This window comes from Homo sapiens, chromosome 20 (assembly GCF_000001405.40).
Source record: "Homo sapiens chromosome 20, GRCh38.p14 Primary Assembly".
NCBI lineage: Eukaryota > Metazoa > Chordata > Mammalia > Primates > Hominidae > Homo > Homo sapiens.
In genome coordinates this window covers 43,203,323-43,229,738 of record NC_000020.11, presented here as the reverse complement: position 1 = coordinate 43,229,738, position 26,416 = coordinate 43,203,323, and the positions used below count along the sequence as shown (strand labels likewise).

Here is a 26,416-nt window from a genome sequence, read left to right as displayed (position 1 = left end):
ATTTTGCTTTTTCCAATGTTGCTTTAGTGTTGTATAGAGCACTGAATACTGCCTTATGATAAATAACAGTCCTACTTATAAGTATTTACTTGTTTTTCTGTTCTTTGTCTGACCTGCTAGAATTTAGGGTCTGTGAGGCCCAGAACAAAGTTGACTCCCCATTTCTCCCATCAGTGCCTGGTACATGGTAGATGCTCAATAGGTAACTGTTGAGTAAATTAATAAACTAACAATTTAGAACCAGGCCGGGCATGGTGGCTTACGCCTGTAATCCCAGCACTTTGGGAGGCCAAGGTGGGTGGATCACGAGGTCAGAAGATCGAGACCATCCTGGCCAACATGGTGAAACCCCATCTCTACTAAAAATACAAAAAATAAAAAATAAATTAGCTGGGTGTGGTGGTGCGCACCTGTAATCGCAGTTACTCAAGTGGCTGAGTCAGGAGAATCGCTTGAACCTGGGAGGCGGAGATTGCAGTGAGCCAAGATCACGCCACTGCACTCCAGCCTGGTGACAGAGCGAGACTTCGTTTCAAAAAAAAAAAAAAAAATTTAGAACCAATAAAATAGTTCAATAAGGTGTCTGGTCACAAAAAAAAAAAAAAAAAATCCTGGGGGGGGAAAAGGACTCTAGGAATTTTCCAACCAAAAGGTACAGTACCTATATGAAATAAATGGCAAAGTTTCATAGAGGCATCTGAAAGCTGACTTAAATCAACGGAAAGGCATATCGTGTTTTTGAATGGGAAGACAGTATTGTAAAGAAAACAATTTTCCCAAAATTAGTTCTTGAATCGAATGCAATTTCAACCTAATGCCCTTAGGGTTGTGTAAGTTGACAAAACTATTTAAAAACTCATCTGCAAAGATAAATAGGAAAAAGCCACCCAGGAATTTTTGGAAAAATAATGACAGTGAGAAGGGAACTTGAATGTAAAAATTCTAATATGTATTATAAAGCTGTAATGATGAAGATAGTGTATTATTGGGGCAGGAATATACCAAAATACCCATGAAATAGAATAGTAAATTCAGCAAGAGAAAAAAGGGTATGTTATAATTTACTGTAAGAATTGGATTATAACCCATGGAAGATATTCATAAATCCATACTGATATAAATAATTATATGTACTGGGGGAGAAGGGACAGTTCTTCCTTGCAGAGGAATTTTGATTAATAGTTGTAGAGGAATGATGGAAATAGAAAATCACCAGTAGGCAAATACTGCGATAACAATGGTCACAGGCAAGTACATCAACAGAGGCTAAAATTAGTATTTAGCATGATGAGAACAGGATATTTGCATTATCTCAAAGTATTTCCTCACAAGATATTTATTATTTACTAAGAGGAAAAATAGTAACATTACAGTGTAGAAACCTGGCAGGCACCACCTTAACCAAGTGATCAAGTTTAATATCACAGGTGATGGGACACCCTGACATCATGTACCACCTGGTACGTTGCACCATCATGCACTCCTGCACTGTGAAAGGCACATCGCTTGTATGATATTTGTGCCTCCAATGCATACCCTCAATCTAACCCCAAGAAAACATGAGACAAACCCAAATTAAGGGATATTTTACAAAGTAGCTGGTCATACCCTCTCAAAGAGTCAAGGTCATGAAAGATGGAAGACCAAGGAACTGTCCGATTGGAGGAAACTGAGAAGACATGATAACTCAAGGCAATGTAGGATCTTGGATTGGATCCTGGAACAGAGAAAGAACATTAATGGAAAAACTGGTGAAAATCAAATAAGGTCTGCAGAGTAGTTATGTTAATTTTCCATTTTTTTTTTTGCACTATGGTTACATAAGTTCTTAACATTAGGGGAAGCTGGGGGAGAGGCATAAAGGAACTCTCAATTTTATTTTTGCAAATTTTCTGAAAGCTTAAAATGATTTCAAATAGAAAGCTAAAAAAGAATTTACTATAAGAGTAAGGTGGGGAAAAATAATGGATTATTCAATTAATGATGGTGAGACAGTTAACCATTTGGAGATATGCATAATTTTATTTATATATATGTATATGTGCTTTATTTATAAAAGTATATTCCATACCATATACCAAAATAAATTCCATGTGGATTTAAACAATTGATCTCATGGAGATAGAAGAATGATGATTACAGAGGCTGGCGGCAGGCTGAGGCAGAGAACTGCTTGAACCTGGGAGGTGGAGATTGCAGTGAGCCGAGATTGCTCCACTGCATTCCAGCCTGGGTGACAGAGTGAGACTCCTTCTCAGAAAAAAACAAAAACAAACAAGCAAAAAAAACACAGATGCTGGGAAGGGTAATGGGGTTGGGGGGATAAAGAAGGGTTGGTTAATGGGTATAAAAATACAGTGAGAGAGAAGGAATAAGATCTAGTATTCAGCAGCACAATAGGGTGACTGTAGTTAACAGCAATTTACTGTATATTTCAAAATAACTATAAGAGTGAATTAGAATGTTTCTAACACAAAGAAATGAATGTTTAAGGTTATGCATATCCCAATTATCCTGATTTGGTCATTATGCATTGCACGTGTGTATCAAAATATCACATGTATCCCAGAGATATGTACAACTATTATGTGTCTAGAAAAATTAAAATTAGAAAAATAGAAAAATAAAAAAAGACAAAGTTACATGTACTCTTTAAAGCAAAATAAGAAACATTAAGGTTAGATGAAGCAATATTGAAAATGAATTTCTTATCCTCAATAATTAGAAATCAGTGAATCTATATGCTACAATTTTAATTAATATTTATTTAATGAATGTATATTGTATTATAAATGCATATTAATACATTTCTATTTATGTTAATATTGATAATTTTATAAAAATAACTTACTGTCTACACCTGTCTAATTGTGTTACCTGGGGATATCCTGGTCAGTTTTCAGGTGAAGGTCAGATAAAACTGGGCTCAAATTTAGGCTCCACTGCATACCAGCTGTGTTTCTGAGTTTCTAAGCAATTAATTAATGCTTAGACATTAATTAATTGGATTTGGATTTGTTGAGTGGCCCTCTACCAGTCAGGGTACTAAAATTCCTATTCTAGTTTATGCTTTTAGTCTTGATTAATTCATTTGTAGGCTGGAGATTACAGCACCTGCCTCCTAAGATTGTTGAAAAGTAGTAAGATAGCGTATTGAAGCCCTTGGAACAAAGCCTGGTATATCGTAGGAGCCCATTCAATGTTGGTGCTTCCTATTTCCAAAAAGTAGGCATTTCTCCCCTGGTAAGTGACCACGGGTAATCACCTGAATTATAGACACTATCATTTAAGAATATAATGTAGTGGTTAAGAAAGCACAGACTCTGGAACCAGGCCAAGTTCAAATTCTAGCTCTTCTACATACTGGCTGTGTGACTTTGAGACAGTTACTTAAGCATCTCTGCTTCAGTTCCTCACCTACAAATTCCCCAATAAGAAGATCTATCTCAGAAAGGTGTTATGAAGATTAAACGAGTTAAGATTTGAAATGCATTTGAAACAACAGCTGGCACACAATAAGTGCCATATAAAGCTTTGCTAAATAGAATATAAATTATACCTGGTCTTTCAAAATAGATCACAAAAGCAAAAAATCACTGTACTCTCTGCATTGAGATTGGGAAAAGGTGCTATCCTTTTTAGCTCCGTAAAGGCCTGGCCAGAGCCCCTGGGGGTCAGCCCATCCTTCTTGCCCTGGGCCAAGAGACCCCAAGCTTCATTCAGGAGAGAAACACAGCAAAGCAATGGGCTTCTTGGGGTGAGGCAGTGGGAGGAGGGTAAAGAGGTCTTTGTAGTGACATTAGAATTGAGGCGAATCAAGGATAGTGATTTCAGGTGGATTTGCAAATGAATGATTAACTTTCACCATTTTGACAATATATCCAAGCTCCACCTCTGCCAATTCTTCTGGGATGGTGGTTAAGGTATTTAATACTTCAGGGATAAAGTTTTCTCCTCTGAAGAATTCTAACAACAGGCAGGGTGCAGTGGCTCACGCCTGTAATCCCAACACTTTGGGAGGCCGAGGTGGGTGGATCTCTTGGAGTTGTTAGGGGAGGAAAAACCACCTCCAGGTCAGAAGCTTACCTTGTGTGTCATATTTCAGACAATAGGAAGGAATTCTCCAGTTTCTTTCCAGCGGGGTGGAGAGAAACGTTCCCCACCCTCACTGGAATAGTATAGTCAGCCTTAGTCCCCCTACCTCCTGGGAGATGCATGACTTGGATCTCTTTTCCAACATTCTAGTTGTGTGACCTTGCTTATCTAACATCACCTCCCTGAATTCAGTTTCCTTATCTATAAAATGGAAATGATGACACTTGCCTCTTAGGGCAGTGGAGCCTAAATTTGAGAAACCCCATCTCTACTAAAAATAAAAAAATTAGCCAAGTGTGGTGGCACATGCTTGTAATCCCAGCTACTCAGGAGGCTGAGGTGGGAGAATTGATTGAACCCAGGCGGCCGAGGTTGCAGTGAGCAAAGATCGTACCACTGCACTCCAGCCTGGGTGACAGAGTGAGACTCTGTCTCAATTAAAAAAAAAAAATTCTAACTATGAACTCAAGTGTGGGGAGGAGTAAATGAGCAAAAGCCAGGGACCAGGGCTTTGGAAACACGTGACTTCTGCAAATGTGAATTATTATCATGGACCCAGTGGCCATGGGTCCCAGAATTGCCAACCCCAGGACTGGCAACTGTGTGAATCTCGAGTAGCAGGTGACCTTGTCCACTCTGTGACTTCCAGGGACAAATGGGCTCCTGAGCAAATTATTTTCTCTGCCCAAAAAGACTGCCGAGTGCTCTTGCAAAGGGGGCCAGCAAGTAACAACCCAGCCACTCTCAGCGTGCGTGGGCACGTTGGCCGTTCTCTCAAACAGAAGTATTGTGTCCCAAGGTCCTTTTAAAATAAGCCTATTTTGAGATGTTTATATACAAACCAGGGAAAGAATGGGGGTATTATGCCCATAATGGAAAGTGCTCATAAATAAAAAGGCGCCATTTATCGTCCATTTCCAAGGCTGCTCTGTGGGCTGCTGCTGTGGATCTAGGCCCGGGAGGGGACGGATATTGGGCCTTGTCAATCAGGCTGGCTGCAGGAAGGAGTGGGCTTTGTGCCACAGACCCCGAGTTTGCAGAGTTCCAGGAATTTCTTCTTTGTCACTGGGGCCTGGCTACCTCCAGCAGATGGAAGATCCACTTTAGGAAAATCGCTTTTTCATTGTAATCAAGGCTTATAACATGTTTTGGTGAATTCTTTAGAATCACTGTAATCACTGTGGAGAGCCCATGGGGTTAGAGGTGGGAAAGGATGGGTTTTGAGTGCAGCATATCACACACACACACACACACACACACACACACACGCACACACACACACACCACGCAGGTTACTCTCAATTATTGTCTTGCTGGATCTGTCACCACAAACATATGCTCTCAGGTCACACCTGCCCAGTGCATCCCCATTACGGGTAGGTGCATTGTGAGGGGTGAGGAATGAATCTCTTTTTGAGTGCTGACTATGTGCCAGGCACAGTGCGGAGAACTCTCTCTCCATTATCTCATTTTATCCCCACAACAGCCCTAAGAGGCAAGAGTCATCATTTCCATTTTATAGATGAGAAAACTGAATTCAGGGAGGTGATGTTAGATAAGCAAGGTCACACAACTAGAACGTTGGAAAAGGGATCCAACTCATGCATTTCCCAGGAGGTAGGGGGACTAAGGCTGACTATACTATTCCAGTGGCGGGTGGGGGAAGTTTCTGTCCACCCCGCTGGAGGGAAACTGGGGTAATTCCTTCCTATTGTCTGAAATATGACACACAAGGTAAGCTTCTGACCTGGAGGTGATTTTTCCTCCCCTACTAATTCCAAGAGTCCTTTTACAAAGCAAAATGGAGTTGGCATTGGTTAGGACAAAGAAGTCACCCCCCAGCTCTGTTCATCTTTCTACTCCAGTCGAATAAAGGTCAACCCCATCCCTTACTTCAAACCGCTGGCCAGTAGAATGAATACTGTATGGAGAACATACAGGATTTGGAGTTAAAGGAAAGTTGAATACACAGAGAATAAAATGGTTGTTACCAGGGGCGGGGCAAGGAAGGGGTGCAGAGAAAATGAGGAGGTATAGGTCAAAGGATACAAAGGTGCAGAGGTGTAGGAGGAAGAAGTCTAGAGTTCTAATGTGCCACATAAGGACAATAGCTAATATTGTATTGTATTCAGGATTTTTGCTAGGAGTATACTTTAAATGCTTTTGCCACACACACACAAAGGATAACTATGTGAAATGATAGATCTGTGTATTCACCTGACTCTAGTAACCATTTCACTATGTATACTTATATCAAAGCCTCATGTTACGTGCCTTAAATATATACAGTAAAATAAACAAATAGAGGAGGCTAGAATCCCATGGGTTTGGTGCGATTGTTGCCTGCTCGGTAGAGTCAAAGAGCACTGGCTGGGGAGTCCTCAGTGTTGTATGATGCCTTAGACCAGGGGCTCTGGACCTCGCTGCCTGGACTCAGTCTTAGCTCATCAACTGTGACCTTGAGTAGATTTTATTTTGCTGAGTCTCAGTCTCAGTTTTCTCATCTCTAAAATGACACACAATTGTACCTACCTCACTGGGCTGGTGAGACAATGCCTGAAAGAGGCTATAGTAAGTTGCACCCTTCTAATGTTTTCTTGACTCTCTTGTCACCTGCACGTTTCCCGGGCAGTTCCTGCACACATCTATGGCTTCCAGCCTCAATCACCTGTGATCCTCTCTGCCCAAGGGCTCCTCTGATGCTCAGGAGGGTGCTCAACCCCTGCACAGGACATTTAGAAGTGCTAGGGAGTTAATGTTCCAGGAGGGACCCTCAACCTGTGGAAGATGGGAGTGGGTGGATCCATACCCAGCTTTCTCACACTTGGTGGAAAAATTCTCATGTGTGTAACACAGAGCTTCCCAAAGTGTCCCCAGTAGGACCAAGCCTTAGTTGTCCACAGAGGTGACCTGGTCATCACTGTACCATTTATTGACTTTTATCTCTTCTTTGTTTTATTTTCTGGCTCTCACTGTGCTTCCTGGGACCACCTCCCGAGTAAACACCCTGCAGCCAAATCCTCATCTCAGAGTCTGTTTTTGGAAACTCCACCAAGACAGGGGCTTAGCGTGACGCCTAACATTTAATAAGTACTCAGCAAGCAGTGTTTACAATTAATTAATTATTATTTTTGAGAGACAGGGTCTTGCTGTGTTCCCCAGGCTGGAGTGCTGTGGCTATTCACAGGTGCGATCCCACTACAGATCTGCACGGGAGTTTTGACTTTTGACCTGCCCCATTTTCTCTCTGGGTCAGTTCACCTCTCCTTAGGCAACCTTGTGGGCCCCCTCCTCAGAGGTCACCATATTGATGCCAAACTTAGTGAGGACACCTGATTGCCGTGACGTGCTGCAGTCCAGAATTCCTGGGCTCGAGCAATCTTCCCACCTCAGGCCCCCGAGTAGCTGGGACTACAGGTGTGCACCACTGTGCCCAGCTGTATTTACTGTTGTATTCTTGTGGTATTAGCTCTGCTACCTCCCTGGCTCTACAACATCCCTATGAAATCCCGGGGGTGTCTGTTATTCTCTCTTGGCTTGTGCCCAGCTTTGGAGAATATGAGCTCTGGCTGTGAGCTAGAGGGTGCCTGGATACGAGTGTCTCCTCTTCTTGAGTTTTGGCTTCAGCACCTGCCTGCAAATAGCTCCCGTGATCTCAGGGAGCTTGGCCATCATTGGCAAGAATGTGTCCTTCCTGCTGGATTATGGCTCGTGCCTGAGAGTAAAAGAATCTAGCTGCGTGCCCTGCCTGGAGAAGGTGGCTGAGCCTCCATTTCCTCTTCTGTAATAGGGAAATTAAGAAGTTAGGGTTGTTGGGATGAGTTAACAAGGTAATGTTCATGAAACATTCAGTACAGTGCTTGGCACAGAGGGAGGACTCGATACATGGTGGTCAGAGATTTTTCTCTAGACCAACCCCCCGACTGTACACCTGGAAATTTCAGGCTCAAAGAGTGACCCGTCATGGCTTTTAAACATGCAGTTGCACCTGCCATGAGATGTAAAGGCGGGTGGAGTGGAAGGGCCTGGCAGGCCTGAATGACAGCAAACTTCCTTCCTGGCTACTTCCTGCAATGGCAGCCTCCACTGATCAAATATTCATCAAACCCAACAATGTGTCCATAACACCGAGCAAAGATGAGAAGGGCACTCATCAGGCCCCCAGGAAGCTCATGGCCAAATGATGCTGCCCAGTAGTATGAAGGATGTTTTCAGGCCTTTGGAAGGAGCTAATCTGGGAAGTTTCAGATAACTTTAATAACAAAAACATCATTTTTTATAACTATATAATCATATTAATTGTAAACATTTATTGATGTCTACTCTGAAGCAGGCACAGTTTTAAACAGTTTATAGAAATCAATTCAGTTGATCCTATACTGGTACAGATAGACTATTATTATAATATCCATTTGACAGATAAGAAACTGAGTCCCAGAGAGGTCATGCAGTTTGCCTAGGGTCACACAGTTGGTAAGCAGGGGCACTGGGATTTGAACTCGGATAGTATGGATCCAGAATCTTTACTTTTAACTCTCATTGTACTACCCCACACTTAAAATAACACAAGGGACCTGGTTGTCTGAACTTTCAGTGGTTCCTCTGTAGAATCTTTGTGCAACTTTTAGTTTAGTGATGCTTAGGTTAATTTTGGCCTGTTGGCTTCTTCCTGTACTCTGATAAGCTGTAAGTTCTGGATTTGGGTTGGATTCCCTGGGAAACTTGAGTCAGTCAGATGTGCAAACATAACTGGATGCCAGCTCTGTCCTAGTTTCCTGGGGCCCTATTGCAGCTTCTAAGTGTGAGGAATTTATCATGGTTTCCCAGAACATTACTGACCAGCCAACCATTTCCGTCCTATAGATGGAGGGTTTTGAACCTTTTCAGGGTCACAGGTTGTGGTTAACGCTGTTTTGGTGTCCTGCCAAGATCCCCTTTGCTGAGCCATCCGTGAGCTGCTGTGAGTATTGGCTGCTAATGATTCGTAGCTGCCCTTTTCTTAGGGTTGCTATATTTAGCAAATAAAAATACTTAATTTTATCTGGAAAACTTACATCATCTCCAGAAATGTAGGGAGCAACTCACAGCCAGTAACTGAGGGATGTAGATGTAGGGGTATAAGAGGCTGGCCTCATGCCATGGGATGGGGTAACTGTGTATAGATTATTCTCCAGTGTCCCCCTGGGGATCAGGCCAGGGCTACATATCACCCAAGATCACACATTGCTGGGTTCTTTTCTCTTCCTTTTCCTTGAAAGTTTCCCCTGTGAGTCCTTCCTCAGTAACTTCCATGACCCTGAATCTTGGCTTCAGGTTCTGCTTCTAGGGAACCCAGATCCCCTTGAGAATGTGATAAAAACTCGACTTTGTCCTTTAAAAACTGCACAGATATACCTACACCCCAACGTTGGCATATGATTTTTGGGATTCACCTTGAAGGGAGCCCCTTACTTCATCCTACGTTTCCTAAACCTTGTCTATCTCGCCCTCTTATAGCTGATAGAGAGTGACTGGCAGCCACTGGGGTAAAATGAGAGTTAGCATGAAGTTTGCACTGCAAATTATAAGCAGAGGGTTTTTTTTTTTTTTTGCCTATGTGATTTCCATTATTTGCAGAAAGTCTGTGTGGAAATCAAAACATGCCCAGAGAGAGGAAGTTGTCAGCTGAATGCTTTGATAAGAGATGATAGTTGAAAGAACATGAAGGAAATACAAGTCTGATCAAGTCACATACCTGTTTCTTCAAAGACTTGCCATTGCTCTCTTGATAAAGATCAAAGTCCTGGACAATGTCTTGAGGCCCTCCGTGGATAGGTCCCCCTCATGCCGGCTTTATTCCAAATCACTTTCCCATTTGATCCCCATGCAGCAGCAGCCACACTGGTTTCCTTCAATCTTTCCAACTCAGCATGCTCCCTTCCTGCCCCAGGGCCCTTGCACATGTCACTTCTTTTCCTTGGATTACTCTTCTCAGCCTTCTTGCTCCTCCATTACTCAATCACTTCATTGGGGAAGCTCTTTCTGACTTCCCAGATCAGATGGAAGCACTCACATTATCTAGGACTTCTCCTTCATGTTAATTACCTATTGCTGTGTAACAAATTACCCCAAACATAACATAAAACCACAAACATTTATTACTTTCGAGTTTCTGTGAGTTAGGCATCTGGGAGTGGATTAACTGGGTGGTTTTGACTCAGAGTCGCTCATGAGGTTGCAGTCAGGTTGTTGGCCAGGGCTGCAGACATCTGGAGAGGCTCAACCGGGGATAGAGGCTCTGCTTCCAAGATCACCGACATGGTTGCTAGAAGTCCCCTGTTCCTCCCTAAAGGGGGGTTCTCCCTTACCCCTCACATGCCTGAGTATCCTCACAACATGGCAACTGGTACTTCCTTCAGAGCAAATGATGAGAAGAGAGACAGAAAGAGAAAGAATGAATCCACCCAAGATGAGGCCACAGTCTTTTTATAGACTAGTCTTGGAAATGAAATCCCTTCTCTTCTATTCCTTACAAGTAAGGCACTGAATTCAAACTATGCTCCAGGAAAGGGGAATTGAGCTCCACCTCTCAAGGGGAGGAACATCAAAGGCTTTGTGGACCTACCTTTAAAAGGACCACTGTTATTTATCATGGCTGGTGTCATTTAACTGGTATGGTTACTTGATTTGTGTCTGTCTGGGCTGCACTCTTCAAAAAGGAAGAGTCTCTCCTTTATTTCTCTTACCATCATATCCCAATGCCCAACCCATAGTTAGCACTGAATAAATATTTATTTAATGAATGGAATGATTTTAATTTTTTTGTCAGTATAGTTCAAGAAAAGTCTGGCAAAGAGGTCGTGATCAATTTTTGACGGAATGTCACTGAAGCTCATCGTGCACATGAAAATCCCTGCAGCTGGCTGGCCTTTTGATTTCAGTTTGAGGGGAAGCGTAGCTGTCATTTTTTTGTTCATTCATTTAGTGAACATTTATTGAGCACTTATTGTGGTCTAGAAAGAGTCCTGGGTACTGAAGATGCAGAGATTAATAGGATGCACAGTGATTTTTATAAATTAAGACATCCACATGTTCGTGTATAAAGCAGCCCAAAGGCTTTTGAATGATCTTCAAACATGAAAGACAATAGGCAGCTGTATTGGAAACAGACTCCTTGATATTGAGTTTGCAGAAGCTGTTTTATCAGCCCAGCATGTCGCCCAAGTGAAGTGGAGTATTTACATTTAATTCCAAAGTGGTTGTGCCAACATCAATCCTCTGGTTTTCATACTTTTTGGTCACTGTTTGCAAATGTAATAAAAGGTTTTTGTCAAAGAAGCTGGATAAAGATGGAAAGAGAATGGCATTCTATGTGACTGGTGGGAAGCGCGAGTGGTTGATGCTGGGCAACAGTCGGCTAAGGTCGCAGGGGCATACGTGGAGAACAGGGACAATGTGAACAAAAGGAGTTTGAAAAAATGAAATAGCAGCAAAACTTGGCTTGGGCCAAAATGTGTGCAGCGTGGGAAAAGCCCTGGTCTGACGCTCAAGAGATCTCAGCTCTGGTCCTCACATTGCTACACACTTTCTTTTCTGGACCTCTAAGTCCTTATTTGTGAAATAAGTACATTGTATCAGACCAGAGGTTTTAAAACCTCTTTTTTCTTAGTGTATCTCTAGTGCCACCCGGATATGTAAAACAGAAGATTTAAGCCTCTCTTCTCAGAGGACTAAGAATAGGGGGCTGTATCCCATGCTATCGATGTCTCTTGCATATTCTCTTGTTCTGCAAAATTTTGGCTTCTTCCATTAAATTCCAACTGCCAGCACATGCTCCCTGTCACTCCCTCCCTGCCCAAGGGCTTTTTCTGGCTGCCAGAGTTCGTTTTGCTGCTTCTGGGCAGGCTGGAAGTCCCAGAGAATCAACGTCCCCCACAAGCAGCTCTGAACTAATGACTGAAGGGAGCCGTGGTATTTATACCCCAGCTCCCGCACACCTCAGGTGGGATGTTGCCAAAGCTTGTGCTCTAGTCTGGCTCACACAGGTCCCTAGAAGGCACAGGCTCTAGCTGCCCACAGTGGTAACTGCATTGATAACTCACCCTTTGTTGGTTGCCTTTCCTTCCCCACTTCTTCACTCCCCAAGTGGTGACCGCAGAATCACCTCCCAAATATACAACTTGCACTTGAATCCTTGTCTCTTGGTCAGCTTCTAGGGAAACCCAAACTAAGAGAGGGACTCAGAGCAGAAAAAAACTCTTTCTGCCTTCCTCATCCACCCGAGACACCTCTGCAGAGCTCCTAGGCCTCAGGGCACTGTGCAAACCACTGGACTAAAACAAAAAAAGCTTTGTGTTTCCTTAATGGTGGTGGTATTAAAAAAATGCGCACCTCTCTCTGCTTTAGTAGAACTTTACACAGGCATTTTTAGGTGAAAAGAACCAGATTCCTTAGAAACCCAAAGTCAGATTATGCTTTGACTTTGTAGAAGGGTTATTATGAACTAGCTTTCTCTTTTGCTCACTTGCTTTATGGAGTGAGGAAATGAATCTGTGCCAGTTGGCAGATACACTCGCCCAAAATAGTTGGGGACAATGAAGCTTGAATGGCTTTTAGATGGACATTGGCCCCCTCCTTTTGATTGGCGATGTTCTTTCCTGACTCTTCTTCCAAACTTTACATGGAGGAGAAAGGGGAAAATCAGGTCCTTAGAGATGTTTCTCTCCCACAGCTGGGAAAGAATAACAAGAAGCATGAAGGGTGGTGTGCGTCATGGGTGCCCTGCTCAAACTTCCTTGCCCTTCTTGCTTCGGGGCACAGTGGCCTGACTTCCGACTTTCTGCACCTGCACTTCCTTGCCTGGCTGGTGTGTTGTTGCTTTTCAGGGAATTAACACTCCCTGGGAGCAGCCCTCAGCCAGTGATTGATGGGACCTGGGATACAGCTACCCCAATTACCCTGTCCCTGGGGTGGGAAAATTCAGGTGTGTACATGACACCAGTCCCATTCCATTCCTGGGAGTAAGTGCTCATCTCCCACAGAGGTGACGTGCTTGATAACACTCCCTGTATTGGCTGCTTTTCTTCCCTGCTTCACTTCCCCATTCCTCTATGGGTATTTTCTCACACTTCCCAAATAGATTTTGGGTGCTCAAATTCTTGTCACAGAGTCTACTTCTGGGAGAACTCGAACTACAAGAAGAGTTTCCCAGGCAAGCACTGGGTAGTTTCTGCTTATCCCTTATCTGTTCCTGGGAGCCTGTTTTCTTTGGCTACAACATCAGTTGATGAGAGAAAGTTTATGGGTGCTGTCAAGTGCCTCTGGGCTGGGGACCCGGAGTTGGCGAGACCTACTCCTAGGAGACTGCTGTGGGCTGGGAGTACAGATTAAAGGGCATGTGTGCTTCCTGAATGAACAGCTCTAGGTTCACTTCTAGAGTGATACTGCGGTCACCACTTGGGGAGTGAAGAAGTGAGAAAGGGAAGGAAAGGTGAATTCTACACCCTACATGGCTTCTGCAGTAATCTGTGGTCTCTGCCCACCACTGTCTACTCTGCCCATTAGGCTCCTGCAATAGCAAGCTACTTGGAGTCTCCCCACATCCCATTTCCCATCCATTTCATGCCTCTTGACTTCGATTAACTGTTTTCTCTGCCTATATTGCCCTTCCCTGCCTTTCCCTTAGCAAAATCCTATGTATCCTATAAGATCCAGTCTAAAGGCCACTTCCTCTATAAAGTCTTCCCTGTATCCCTTGGGTGGAACAAGAGCCCTCGCCCGTATTTTCATGCCTCCCGCTCACCCCTAGCGTCTTACTCTAACAGCACATTCACATACTGCACTGAAATTGTCAATGTATACATCTGTCTCTCCACCAGACAGTGAGCTCTTTGAAAACCAGGCTGTGTATTATTCAATTTTTGAATCCCCAGTGTCCTTCAAAGGGACTGGCACACTGTAGGTGCTGGATGTAGGGTGGGTTCCCCCAAAACAGACCGCAAGATGGAGATTTGTTTGCAAGTGAAGTGTTAAGAAACTGCTCCCAGGAGAAACCAGTATGTGGGTGTGTGTTGGGGGCGGGTGGAAGAAGGCCAGAGAAGGGGAGGAGGCCAAGTGAAGACAGGATTTCAGGCAAAAGTCTTGAAGAGGGGAGCTTCTGCCTGACCCTGTGGGGAGCTCTGGGGGCATGAGTTATGCCTCAGGAGTTGTCCCAAAAGTTGGACTTGTGCTCTCCTGGACCGGACAGTCATTGGCTGCAGATGCTCCAAGGAGACATAAACACCCAGGCACTTCTTCATCTCTGTGTGTGTGGGCAAAGTGGCTCCAGGAGCCCAAAGCCAGCCTTCTGGGGGCAGTCCCAGATGTGGGAGGTTAGAGGCAAAAGCCAGGGGGTGATCTACCCACAGAAGCCAGGGCAGTGTCCCACAGAGGATCAGGTCCCACCACCAGAGTGTGTACTAGAGGGCTCACCGTATGCCTGGTGACTTGTAGGGAAACGCTGGCTGGGCAGACCCCTTGTGCCACTCCTGGCACCTCCAACTCAGCCGATCTCAAACCCAGCTCATCACATGGCCCATCATCCACCCTCTCCCTGCACCTGTTCTTGCCGTGCTCTCTGCGTATTTGGTTCTAGCATACTCCGAATCTCCAAAGCCAGATGCCAGAACTCACTCTCATAAGTTCACCCCTCATAAATTCACCCAAATCTCTCAATTCTCTTGTCAAAGTCTCTTTTGAAGTCATTTCCTATCTATTATTATCATTATCTTGCTGCTACATTCTCAAAGCCAAGGATGGCACTTCTGCTTATTGAATGAATGAATGAATGAATGGCCCAATCTGCTGAAAGAACTCCCACCTCCATAGCTTGGTGTATTAGTCTGTTCTCACGCTGGTAATAAAGGCATATCCAAGACTGAGTAATTTATAAAGGAAAGAGGTTTAATAGACTCAGAGTTCCACATGGCTAGGGAGGCCTCACAGTCATGGAGGAAGACAAAGGAAGAGCAAAGGGACTTACATGGTGGCAGGCAAGAGAGTGTTTGCAGGGGAACTCCCATTTATAAAGCCATCAGATCTCCTGAGACTTTTTCACTACCACGAGAACAGTATGGGGGAAACCACCCCCATGATTCAATTATTTCCACCTGGCTCTGCCCTTGACACATGGGGATTATTACAATTCAGGGTGAAATTTGGGTGGGGACACAGCCAAACCATATCTCTTGTCATGCAATTTTTCCATGAGCTGATCCTACCATCTTTCTTAATTTTTATACATTGCTAAGTACACATTCTGTTTACGACAGAACAAACTACTCAGTCTCATGCAGCATAACTCACGTGTTCTTGACCTCTCTTCTTTGCTCTGCTCTTCTTTGCACCTAAAAAGCCTGATTTCTCATCTTTTCTTGTAAAAATCCAGCTTATTTTCCAAGGCTCTTCTTCCTGGGTGAGGTCTGCCTTTGAGCTTGTGACGTTTAGTTTGCTCCTCTCCTAGGGAACCGCTAAAAAGATTTTTTGGCTTTGCTATCTTTAAAAGACAATGAGCTCCTCCATATCAAGAATGCGATGTCTGGTTGGCTTTGTTAGTCTTAGTCTGTTTTCTGTTGCCATAACAGAATACGAGAGACTGGGCAATTTCCAAAGAAAAGGCATGTATTTCTTATAGTTCTGGAGGCTGGGCACATCTGTTGAGGATCTTAATGCTGGTGGGACTTTCCACAGATTCCCGGGTGGCACAGGACATCACATGGTGAGGGGGCTGAGAGTGCTAGCTCAGGCCTTTCTTTTATAAATTGACTAATGCTCCAGCCTCATGACTTTATCTTAATCCTAATTACTTCCTAAAGGTCCCACCTCTCAAATCCCATAGTCGGATTTCCCACCCTCTTCATACTATTACAAAGGAGATTAAGTTTCAACATGAGTTTCAGAGGGGACAAACATTCAAACCATTGCAGCTGGTCACCAAATATTTTAATTGTCTCCTTTTGTGGGCACATAGGACTGTGTTTTCCTATTTCCTGGAACTAAGCCATAACCATGTGACTTACTTTGACCAATCAAATGTGAGCAGAGTAACTTGTGCCACTTCCAGGTGGGGTCTTGAAAAAGACAGTGTGGGATTCTCCACATCCCGTTTTTCTTGCTTTAGCAATCATGGAAGAACAGAGATAGAGCCTCCCTCAGCCTGGATCCTTGAGTGAGGACACTGTAGATTGAAGGCTTCTGTGTTTCCACAACAGATATGTGGCATAGGCAAGAAATAAATTTTTGTTGCTTCTAGTCACCAAGATTTGGGGGTTGTCACATGGCATAACTTAGCCACATTAGGCCTAACCTAATCTCTTGACTGACATAGTATCGGATTCATCTTCCTAGCCCTTCAGAATCCAGCAAGTGTCTTTGTGTAGAAGTGCCTCAAGGTAGATGTGTTGCATGAAGTACACTAAGAAACTCTGTTTCTGGACTGAAGTCACCACTACCTTGTGCCTGAGATGATGAAAAGGATAAAATGGGCCTGCCCTAAAACTAAGGCATTAAGAGGTTGAATGTACACAGATGGAGTTAAGTGAGGCATTGAACGACTGCCCACTGAATTTTCATTGTAGATAGTCAGTGAGGTGGTTACAGTTTTGAAATGGAAAGAATGTCCTCCACATACTATTTCTCTTCCTTCCTCCCTCCTGTCCTTTCTTCCTTCTCTCCCTCTCTCCCATTTCACCCTTTTCTTCCTTCCCTCCCTCCTTTCTTTCTCGTAAACTTAGTTCTAGCTGTTGGTTGAGCATGATCGCTTTTATGAGAAGCAGGAAGAAACCAGCCATATGAACTTTAATTTCTTTAAAGGTATGAATAAAGAACAGAAAACCTAGACATAAGAAAAATAAAATTGTATTTTTAAAACATTAAACTTTAGGCTAGCAGAGGCAGTTTTGATCAGATCTTCTATTTCTCAATTTATCATTCTCTATAGCTCAAATTTTGCCCCAAAAGCAAAAAGAATAAGATTTTCTAATGGCAAAATAAAATTAATATTAAGTTTTTGTGCCTTGCTTTCCTCACTTTCTGGGGTTATTTCCTATCATCATGGTCCAGGATCTTCGAAAGACCTTCAAGAAAAAAATTTTTTCATCAGCGACTGCAACAAATGAATCACACGGACAATTTGCTACAATGGGCTTTTTTTTTTTTGTTTTTTCTTTTTGTAGGAAGGCAAGAAATTCTGAGTGGGGAAGCTCAGACTTCACCAACCTCATGGTCCTGAAATTACTCATCCGGACACGAAACAAAATTGAAAAATCAGAGAGATCTATTTTGAAAGAAAAAAGAATGGTTGATGGCCTGAGAACCAAGTAAGTACTCATTTTGCTTTTGTGCTATTGGATGAAGATACTTGGATCAAAAGAGGACTTGGAAATGTCAAGGAATTGACAGGCAGGGCTAAAAGACTCAGGCAAAGTGTTTATCATACCAAAAAAAAAAAAAAAAAAAGCATGCATCTGGAGTGTCAGCGGTAGCACTCAGACCGGAAAGCCCCACATCTCCCCTCTTGCCATAACAAACTCATTGACAAGAACTGTCATTGACTGTGCTTTATCTCCCATGTGCTACTGTGAGGACGCATTCCAAGTGCATCCTACGTAAATTGAGGTTTGCTTCCTGACCTGGGAGATCAATTCACTGTCAAAGAGAGCTGGCTGATGAATCACCTTGTGGCTGCCACTGCATTGAAAATCACATCAAATACCTTCTCAAACACACTTCTGAATTACATGCTGGAATCTCCAAAGAGAAGGTTATAGATGAATCTGGAACAATGTGTATTTATCTATGTAGCTCACCAACGTGCATATCTCACAAAGCCAATGAAATGAGGCAGGTGCTCAGTGGTTTGGGTTGTTTTTGCAGTAGAGTGTCGGGGTTAATAGCATGGATCTTGGAGCCTGGTGGTTGGGTGTGAAGCCTGGATCTACCACTCACCAGCTCTGACTTTGGGCAAATTATTCAGTCTCTCTCTCAATAAGTTTGAAAACTCTGATTTACTTTTCTTGGCTACAAAATAAGGATGATTATCATGGTACCTTCTTCCCTCAAAGAAAGGGTTGTGTCTTAAGCTGGTTCCCTCAGGGGAACACCCGGAGACATAGATTTAAGAGCAATTAGTTAATTGGGAGGTGAAGGTAGACGAGTAGTAAAGGAAGACTGGAAAGAGCAAGTTACCGCTGCAGGTGACTTGAGCTTAACCCCCTGGGGAGCTCTGGAGACTGTAAAACACACAACTCAGGGTAAAACGTGTAATCCAGGGGTGAAGGAGGTGGGGTATTTATACACCAACTCCAAGCCAGCCTTAATTGAGGACTGCTTTCGTGTGCAAGTGCATGAATGTACATGTGCCATGTGAGTGCATATGCCCAGTGGGGGTGTTAGTTCCCTGACACTTTTGGCCTGCCATTCAGGCTGCAACGTGGGCTCTGTCAGGAAGAGAAAGGTCTCAGGCAGAGCAATGCATGAGCTGGCAGCTGGACATCAGGCAGTGTGTGCTGAAGTAGTGAGGATGAAGTGTGTGTGCAGGGCTACAGCCTGTTGCGAAGATTAAATGAGTTAATTATTGTGAAACCCTTGGAAGAGTCCCTGGCACAAAGCAAGCACTCCTTAAAGAGCTTGATTAAAACTGAGGCTAGATTGCTGTTCTTTGGGATGACTTATCTTAGGATGGATTTTAGTTTTGTTTTTCACTTTTTTCTTTGAGATGATGAACTGTTATTAGGACCTTGGTACCATACTGGTGGCCAAATGCACTACAGGTTTTCTTGAAGATGATGGTGTAAATGTAAAGAGGGTTTACTGATGGAGCTGTCTCAATCAGAGGGCATATCATCATGTCATGGCCTTTGTGACAAATATCTACCTGTTAGGAAAGCCGACACATGACCAGCACCTCACTCAATACTGGAGATCACAACCTATGTTATGCTGTAGTAACAAGCCTGGAATCTTAGGGGCTTAACAAGAATTAGCACCAGCCTAAGCTATTCTCTCCACCCAACCTGTACTGTGAACTCATTGAAGACAGGGGCCAGGCTGGATAAAATGGACACACCACTGTATCCTTAGCACCTAGAACAGGACGCAGTGCAGAGAGGGGCCAGTGGTAAGTGAATGAATGAATAAATCAACAAACGAACCCCATAAGCATCATGCTCGCCGCTTCTTCATCTGAAAATTGGCTTCCTCCCATTGAACGTATACTTAGCTCAGATGCTGCTGCCTTCTTGAAGCTCTCTGGAGTCTGAAATAATCTCTCTCCCCTAACTTCTTGAACACCTTGTGTCTGTCTGTGGTGGACCACAGTTTCACATTCTGCCATGCCCTATGTAACTAGTGTCCATGTCAGCCCGTACTCATCCCACTCTTCTCTCAAATCCCACTGCGGGCTTCCAATGAGAGTATCAACATTAGGATACTCTCTATGTCCTGACCTGGCCTGTGAGACTCTGTGTGCTCTAGGCCTCGAGTCTCCCCCTGGGATCTCACCTACCACTTTCTCCTCTCCTGCTGTACTTTGGCCACAGTGGCCTCAGCTGTTCCTTGCACATGTCATGCATGGTCCTGCCTCAGGCCTTTTTCACCAGCCCTTCCCTATGACTGGAATCCACTCTTTGCCTCCAAATCACTTGCTCAGTTGATTCATATCACTGCTCAAATGCCATCCCCTCAGAAAAGCCTTCCCTGACCTCTATATCTTTTTTTTTTTTTGAGGTGGAGTCTTGCTCTGTTGCGCAGGCTGGAGTGCAGTGGTACAATCTTGGCTCACTGCAACCTCCACCTCCCAGGTGCAAGCAATTCTTCTGCCTCAGCCTCCCGAGTAGCTGGGATTACAGGCAAGCGCTGCTATGCCCAGCTAGTTTTTGTATTTTTAGCAGAGACAGGGTTTCACCATATTGGCCAGGCTGGTCTTGAACTCCTGACCTTAGGTGATCCGCCCGCCTCGGCCTCCCAAAGTGCTAGGATTACAGGTGTGAGCCACCGCACTGGGCCCCTGACCACTATATCTTAAAACACACACACCACCACATCCATCTGCTTTCTATTTTTCCATATCGCACATTTATTTGATTGTCCTGCCTGCTCCCTGCACCTACAATAAAGCAAACTCTACAAAGACAAAGACCTCATTTTATTTAGTGTGGTATCTCCAGCTCCCACGGCAGTGACTGGCACTTAATAGGAGCACAGTAAATATTTGTTAAGTAAATAACATTTGTAAAATAAGTGCATAAGGATTACTGTCCCATTTTAGTAATGGGGTGACTGAATCTTATAGACTCAGAGAAAACTGCACAAAGGTACATTGTTATTTACTTATCTCTCATTTACAGTACATGTACTCTGTACGGACATGTCTTAGTTATTCTGGCTGCTATAACAAAGCACCAGAGACTGAATGGCTTAGAAATAACAGAAATTTATTTGTCACATTTATGTAGGCTGGAAGACCAGTGTCCCAGCATGGTTGGCTTCTGGTGAGGGCCCTCTTCCGGGTTGCAGATTGCTAACTTCTTGCATCTTCACATGGTGGAAAGAGACCTCGCTAGCTTTTTGATCTCTTCTCATAAAGGCACTAATCCCATTCAAGAGGACTCCACCCTCATGACTGAATTACCTCCTCCAAACCCCAGTGCCAAATAGCATCATAATTGGATTAGGGTTTCAACATATGAATTTTGAGGGGCACGAACGTTCATCAGTCTATTATAAGGCACTCCACTTTAATCTTTATAACAGTACATTTTTTACATATAGGAAAACGGAGGCACAAAAAGGTTATGTAACTTGTCCAAGGTCACACAGCCAGGGAATGGCAAAGTGGTGATTTGAACCAGATAGTCTTCCTCTTAACCTCTGTGCTGCACTCTAGGAGATGGAGTCCAGAAGGAACTCACTGTGGGTCGCTGGAGGAACCAAGAGAACAAATTGGAAAGCGCTTTGTCAACTGTCCCAACGTTGACTGAAAATGTCTCATATGAGAAACATACATGGAATCCCTACCACTTGAGCCTGGATAAAAGCTAGGCATGCATGTCAGGAGTGATGTTGGAGGTAAGGCAATTACTCCATAAGGGAAGCCATCGGGCCCACACAGGGCTTAGGCGTGTTTGTGAGGTGGTTTCATCACTGCATCTGCAGAGAAGGTTCATACAGAGAGGCTCCAGGTCTGACTTGCCATGTCAGTGAAAGTGGACAATGTCTCTGCTTCCAGAATATTCTGACATCATTCTCCAGATAGACCCATCAGTGGGCTACCGTCTGAGCAAGGCATCCTTGCTCTGGCAAACTCCCTGAAGGCAGAGCCTGTGTCTCCGCAGTACCTCACATGGGGCCACAGGTGGAGGTGAAAGGCTCCATAAACGGGGGTGGCCTTTGTTCTGCCCAAAAGCAGACATTCAGGTAAAAACATACTCATGTCAGACATGGCTCATGTCACCTTTTACCAGTCTCTCCCCATGTTGATCTGCCCTACATGGTGGCTGTCTTCCTAACTCAAAATATGATCAAAGCCCTTACGTGCTTATAAACTTTCCCTGGATTTTCATTGTCCACAGAAAAAATTTCAATAGAATCTATACTTTTAAAAAAGCCCTATGGAACTATAGAATGTAGCACACTTGACAGAGGTCCAGAGACCATCTATTGTATTCCCTATACCTTCCCCGCCCCCGAACCTACTAATTTTAGAGTCCTGATAGGGGAAAGTGAATAAGGCAAGGATGTAGCAGATCGGCGGTGGAGCCAGGCCTGGAACCCAGGACTATAAGCGCCCAGTCCAGTGGTCCATCCTCTGTGAGCACTGCAGGTTACAAACATGTAACTGCAAAGTCACAGAGAGCAGCTTTCTGTTTGAAGGCGGCTGAATTCTCCCTTTATCCTGTCATGGTAACCATTTTCATAAGTTTTATCCCCCCCTTGGCCTCTGATCTACAGACTAGATAATTAATCAGGCCCTTGAATAATTAAAACTACTAAAAATGCCTTTGTACCTGCTAAAATTGCTCCAGTAATTACTGCCTTGTCAAGAGACTGATTCCGTTGACTGGAATGCTTTTCCAACAGATAGAAAGTATTTCCATTTGAGGCTTCATGGATTCAGAAGTTGAGAAAGAAGTGTTTGTTATGTTAGCGAGTCCCTTTGAAGATGAATAGCACCAACTCTTAACTCTGCCATCTCCATAGAACCTCCTCTCATTCTAAGGAATAGATAAAGCGTATCTCTTTCTTTGCTTTCAGAGCCTGTTGGAAAATGTGATGATTAATTAAAATATTAAATTGACTTATTGGAACCAGATTCTGCACTTGGGCCTTTCTGAGCCTGGCTTCCAAATTCAACATCCACTTTTCAATAAGTAAACGCCTGTGGGATCAAAGTGAATGGCAGCACTTGCTTTTCTCAAGTTACCACCTGGTCCTTCTTGACTCAGCTGACATCAGGTGTTGGGCCCTAAGATATAAGGTTCTGTTCCTGGGGCTCTGCCATTTCTTTGTTATATCTTCCAATGAATGGTATTTAAAAAAACAGTTCTAGGTGCCAAAGGCTGACAACTTCAAGCTGGATTCAGGGTGCTTTACAGAAATCTGGTGGACATTTCTAGGAAATACAATGCAGTTGAAAGGTTATGAGTTCTTTGAGGCATAGTTTTATTTCCAGCATAGAAGAGTCCCGCAAATTTATCACTCTTCTACTTTCTTCTCCATGAAATGGGGATTGTAATGCATGCTTTCAGAACTGGAAACAATTAGTGAGATAATGATATAGCATCCAGTAGGTGATTGATATGGTTTGGGTCTGTGTCCCCACCCAAATCTCATGTTCAATTGTAATCCCCAATGTTGGACATGGGGCATGGTGAGAGGTGATTGGATCATTGGGGTGGATCCTTCATGGATGGTTTAGCACCACCCTTTTGGTGTTGTTCTGATGATAGCATTCTCACGAGATCTGGGTGTTTAAAAGTGTGTAGTACCTCCCCACTCTCTTTCCTGCTCCAGCCATGTAAGACGAGCTGGCTTCCCCTCCACTTTCTGCCATGATTGTAAGTTTCCTGAGGACTCCTCAGAAGCCAAGCAAATGGCCAGCATCATGCTCCCTGTACAGCCTGTGGAACCGTAAGCCAATTAAACCCCTTTTCTTTATAAATTACCCAGTCTCAGGTATTTCTTTATAGCAGTGTGAGAACGGCCTAATACAGCAATCATATGTGTTCAGGGACATTCATGGGGGATTTCCTCTAACCTCCTGCCAGCTGCAAGGGGATCAGATCCTGCTGTGGGACTTAGTGGATTGATGGCTTCTAGTTATGAGTTTGCTAAAGACAATCTTAGTCACTGTCATTTAAATAAGAGATGGTTTATTACCAAAATACTTTTATGGTTGAAACACCAAACTCATCAGCTAAAGCTAATAACTGAAACTGTGGCTCAGCATTTGATGTGGGCTTCCTTAAACCCTTCCTTGTTTGTATTAACTACATAGTTTTCAGGAAGTCTGCGTCTTCCTTAACTGGTCTCCTTCCCCTCTCTCGTCCTCACATCCTGTTGTTTCTACCTCTTAAATATTTCTTGACTCCTTCTTTTTTTCTCTTTCTCTTTGTCTCAACAACTGATGCCCTGGTCAAGCCTCATCAACTCTCAGTTGGTTTCCGGTGCCAAGGTTTAACAATTAAATAAAAGAAGCTTACTTTTGGGCTTGGGCACAGCGTGTGTTAGGTGGCGGCACATATTGGTGAAATGTAGTACTGCAATCCAGCTCTATAGGCATATATTAATAATATACACTCAGGAAAGAGGAGGGGCAGGAAAGCAGTGTTCTTGGAGCTGTGAGTGTAGAAACAGGACAATTTAGAAACTTCTATAACAGTGTACAGCATGCTCTGTTGTAATTATCTGTCTTGTGTTTGTCTTCTCATTAGAAAGTAAGCTCCTTAAAGCAATGAGAGTATCTATTTTCTTCACTAATTTATATCTAGTACATAGTCTGACTTTGGCACATGACAGATGATCAAACTATATATGTTAAGATAAGTATGGGTAACATTCTCATCAGTTGCAAGAATTCCATCAGAGGTAAAGTTTGCTTAACTGTGGGAGGGACTAAACTAGCTACAGTTGAAGCAGACCAGCTGGGGTGGGGTGTTCCAGACATAACCTAGTAGCCAACTACAGAATAAGGTCAGTAGTCACTACAAGGAGGCCTGGTAGGAGGTAGAAATGCCAAACCAAAACTAGTGCTCTGTGCCAGGAAACGAGCCCTGGAATACCAGTGAAAGCAAGTCTCCCATCTTGGAGGGCTTGGCATTACGGCACAATATTAAGCAGGGGCTCAGACACAAGGGTATAAGGTGGGATCCTATTTTTAGATCTAGAGAACAAAAAAAGAGCTTGGTCAGAAGGGTCAAGACAAAAGTGTTGTCTTCAGAGCCAGAGTCAAGGCCTTCATGGAGCCAGCAATTAGAGTGATTTGATAGCAAGTCACCAATACTACTCAATCAGGTCTCTTAAATCTTTTATGACCAAGGACAGGAATGATCATAGCATCTAGGAAGGAATGACAATGCAGGTATAATCAAATAGGAACAGATTGTTTCAGACAGGGGGATATTCATATGAGTGTATAAAGGAGACATTATTTTATAGGTTAAGAACATACATACTCTGACTCAGAATGTTAGCCATTGGTATTGTTCACCAATATTTTTTACTTCCCCCTTTCAGGCATCTGATAGGATTATGCTTTCCTGCCACCTGGAAACTAGGTGTGCCCATGTGACTGGTTTGACCAACAAAATGTGAGCAAATGCATTTAAAAGCAGATGCACAGTTCTACAACTTCCTCTTCTTCTGCCTGTGCAAGTGAGGATGCATCTATTGATTGGGAGGTGTGGTGCAGTCATGGAATGCTCCCTTGAAAAATTGTGCAAACCATGGCAGACTTTACATGATAAGAGAGCAATTTTGTTGTTTTAAACCAATGAATAAAAAAAAGAACACATACTCTGAAGTCAGACAATCTAAAGGATGAATTCCAGCTCAACCAGCTCTGTGACTTTGGGATGTTAGATTGCTGCTGTGAGCCTTGGTTTTCACATCTGAAATATGGGTCTATTGCACATACCTGTTGTCAAGATAGTATGCCAGTAGATGCTTTATGCAGTGTGTGGCATATGGCACATGATCAATAAATGGTAGTTTTTATTACAGCCATCATTTTCCAGCTGGGCAAATATGTTGACTGGTATGAGGGAGAGGAGGAAGGGTGGCAGTAGTTGGTGATTCCAAGAACATCAAGTACTATCCAGTTTCTTTCACTGTCCTCTATTAACATTTTTGGTTGTTTGAGGCTAGTGTCCAGCATTGTTTTGATGGGCAGCTGCCCCTGGTACAAAGCTCAGAAGAATCACTGCTTTGAGTACTTTTCTTATAGACCCAGTCAGGATAGTTCAGGTTACACTGCTGTAATACACAACCCGCAAATTGCGGTGGCTTAAAACACAAAGGCTTGTTTATGGCACACACTACATGCCCATTATGGACCGGTAGGAAGCTCTGCTCCATGTCTTCTCATTCTGGGACTGAGGCTGCTGGAACAGCCACTATCTACAACATTGCCAATCGCTGTATCAAAAGCAAAGAGAAGATGGCATATTACTGCTTAAAAGGCTTCCACCTAGAAGCAACATGGATCACTTCTGCTCACATTTTCTTGGCAAAAGCAAGTCACCTTGTCACACTTAATTCTAAGGAGATAGAAAAATGTCATCCTACTCTGTCTCTGGAAGGAAAATTAGAAATATTCAGTGAACGGGACTAATGACCATTGCACTCTTAAAACTTTCCGACTTAGTCCACTGAGAGAATAGTCCTACTCTAATTTGGGGGTATCTCTTGTTTTTCTGCACCCTTCCCCCTGACTCTCAGATCAAATCTAGCCTCTCTGCCAACAGGGATGAGCACATGACTCAAGTTAAACAAGTCATAGTATTTCATTACTCAACCACAGTCATTGGTTCAAGGGATGGGCATGTGACCAATCAGGATTCTTCAAATTGGTGCTGGGAGAAAAGCTTCCTGTTTTCTCTGAACATGGAATTAGGAGGATATGAGCACACCCTCAGTCATGCTCTCTGCCATTGGCAAACAGTGCTGGGAGAAGAATGCTGAAGAACTGAGAGAAAGGAGGTAGAGGCAGAGTCCTCGTGAAGGTTGACTGGCATCTAAGGCTGGCCATACACTTCCCTTCCCATCCGGGCTGGTCCTGAGCCTTTTTGCCTTCAGATTCATGCCTTGC

At 43.5% G+C, this 26,416-nt stretch overlaps 1 pseudogene; it reads right to left on the bottom strand.

The window, feature by feature from the left end:
* Window positions 7,230-7,533, bottom strand: RN7SL666P (RNA, 7SL, cytoplasmic 666, pseudogene; annotated as a pseudogene).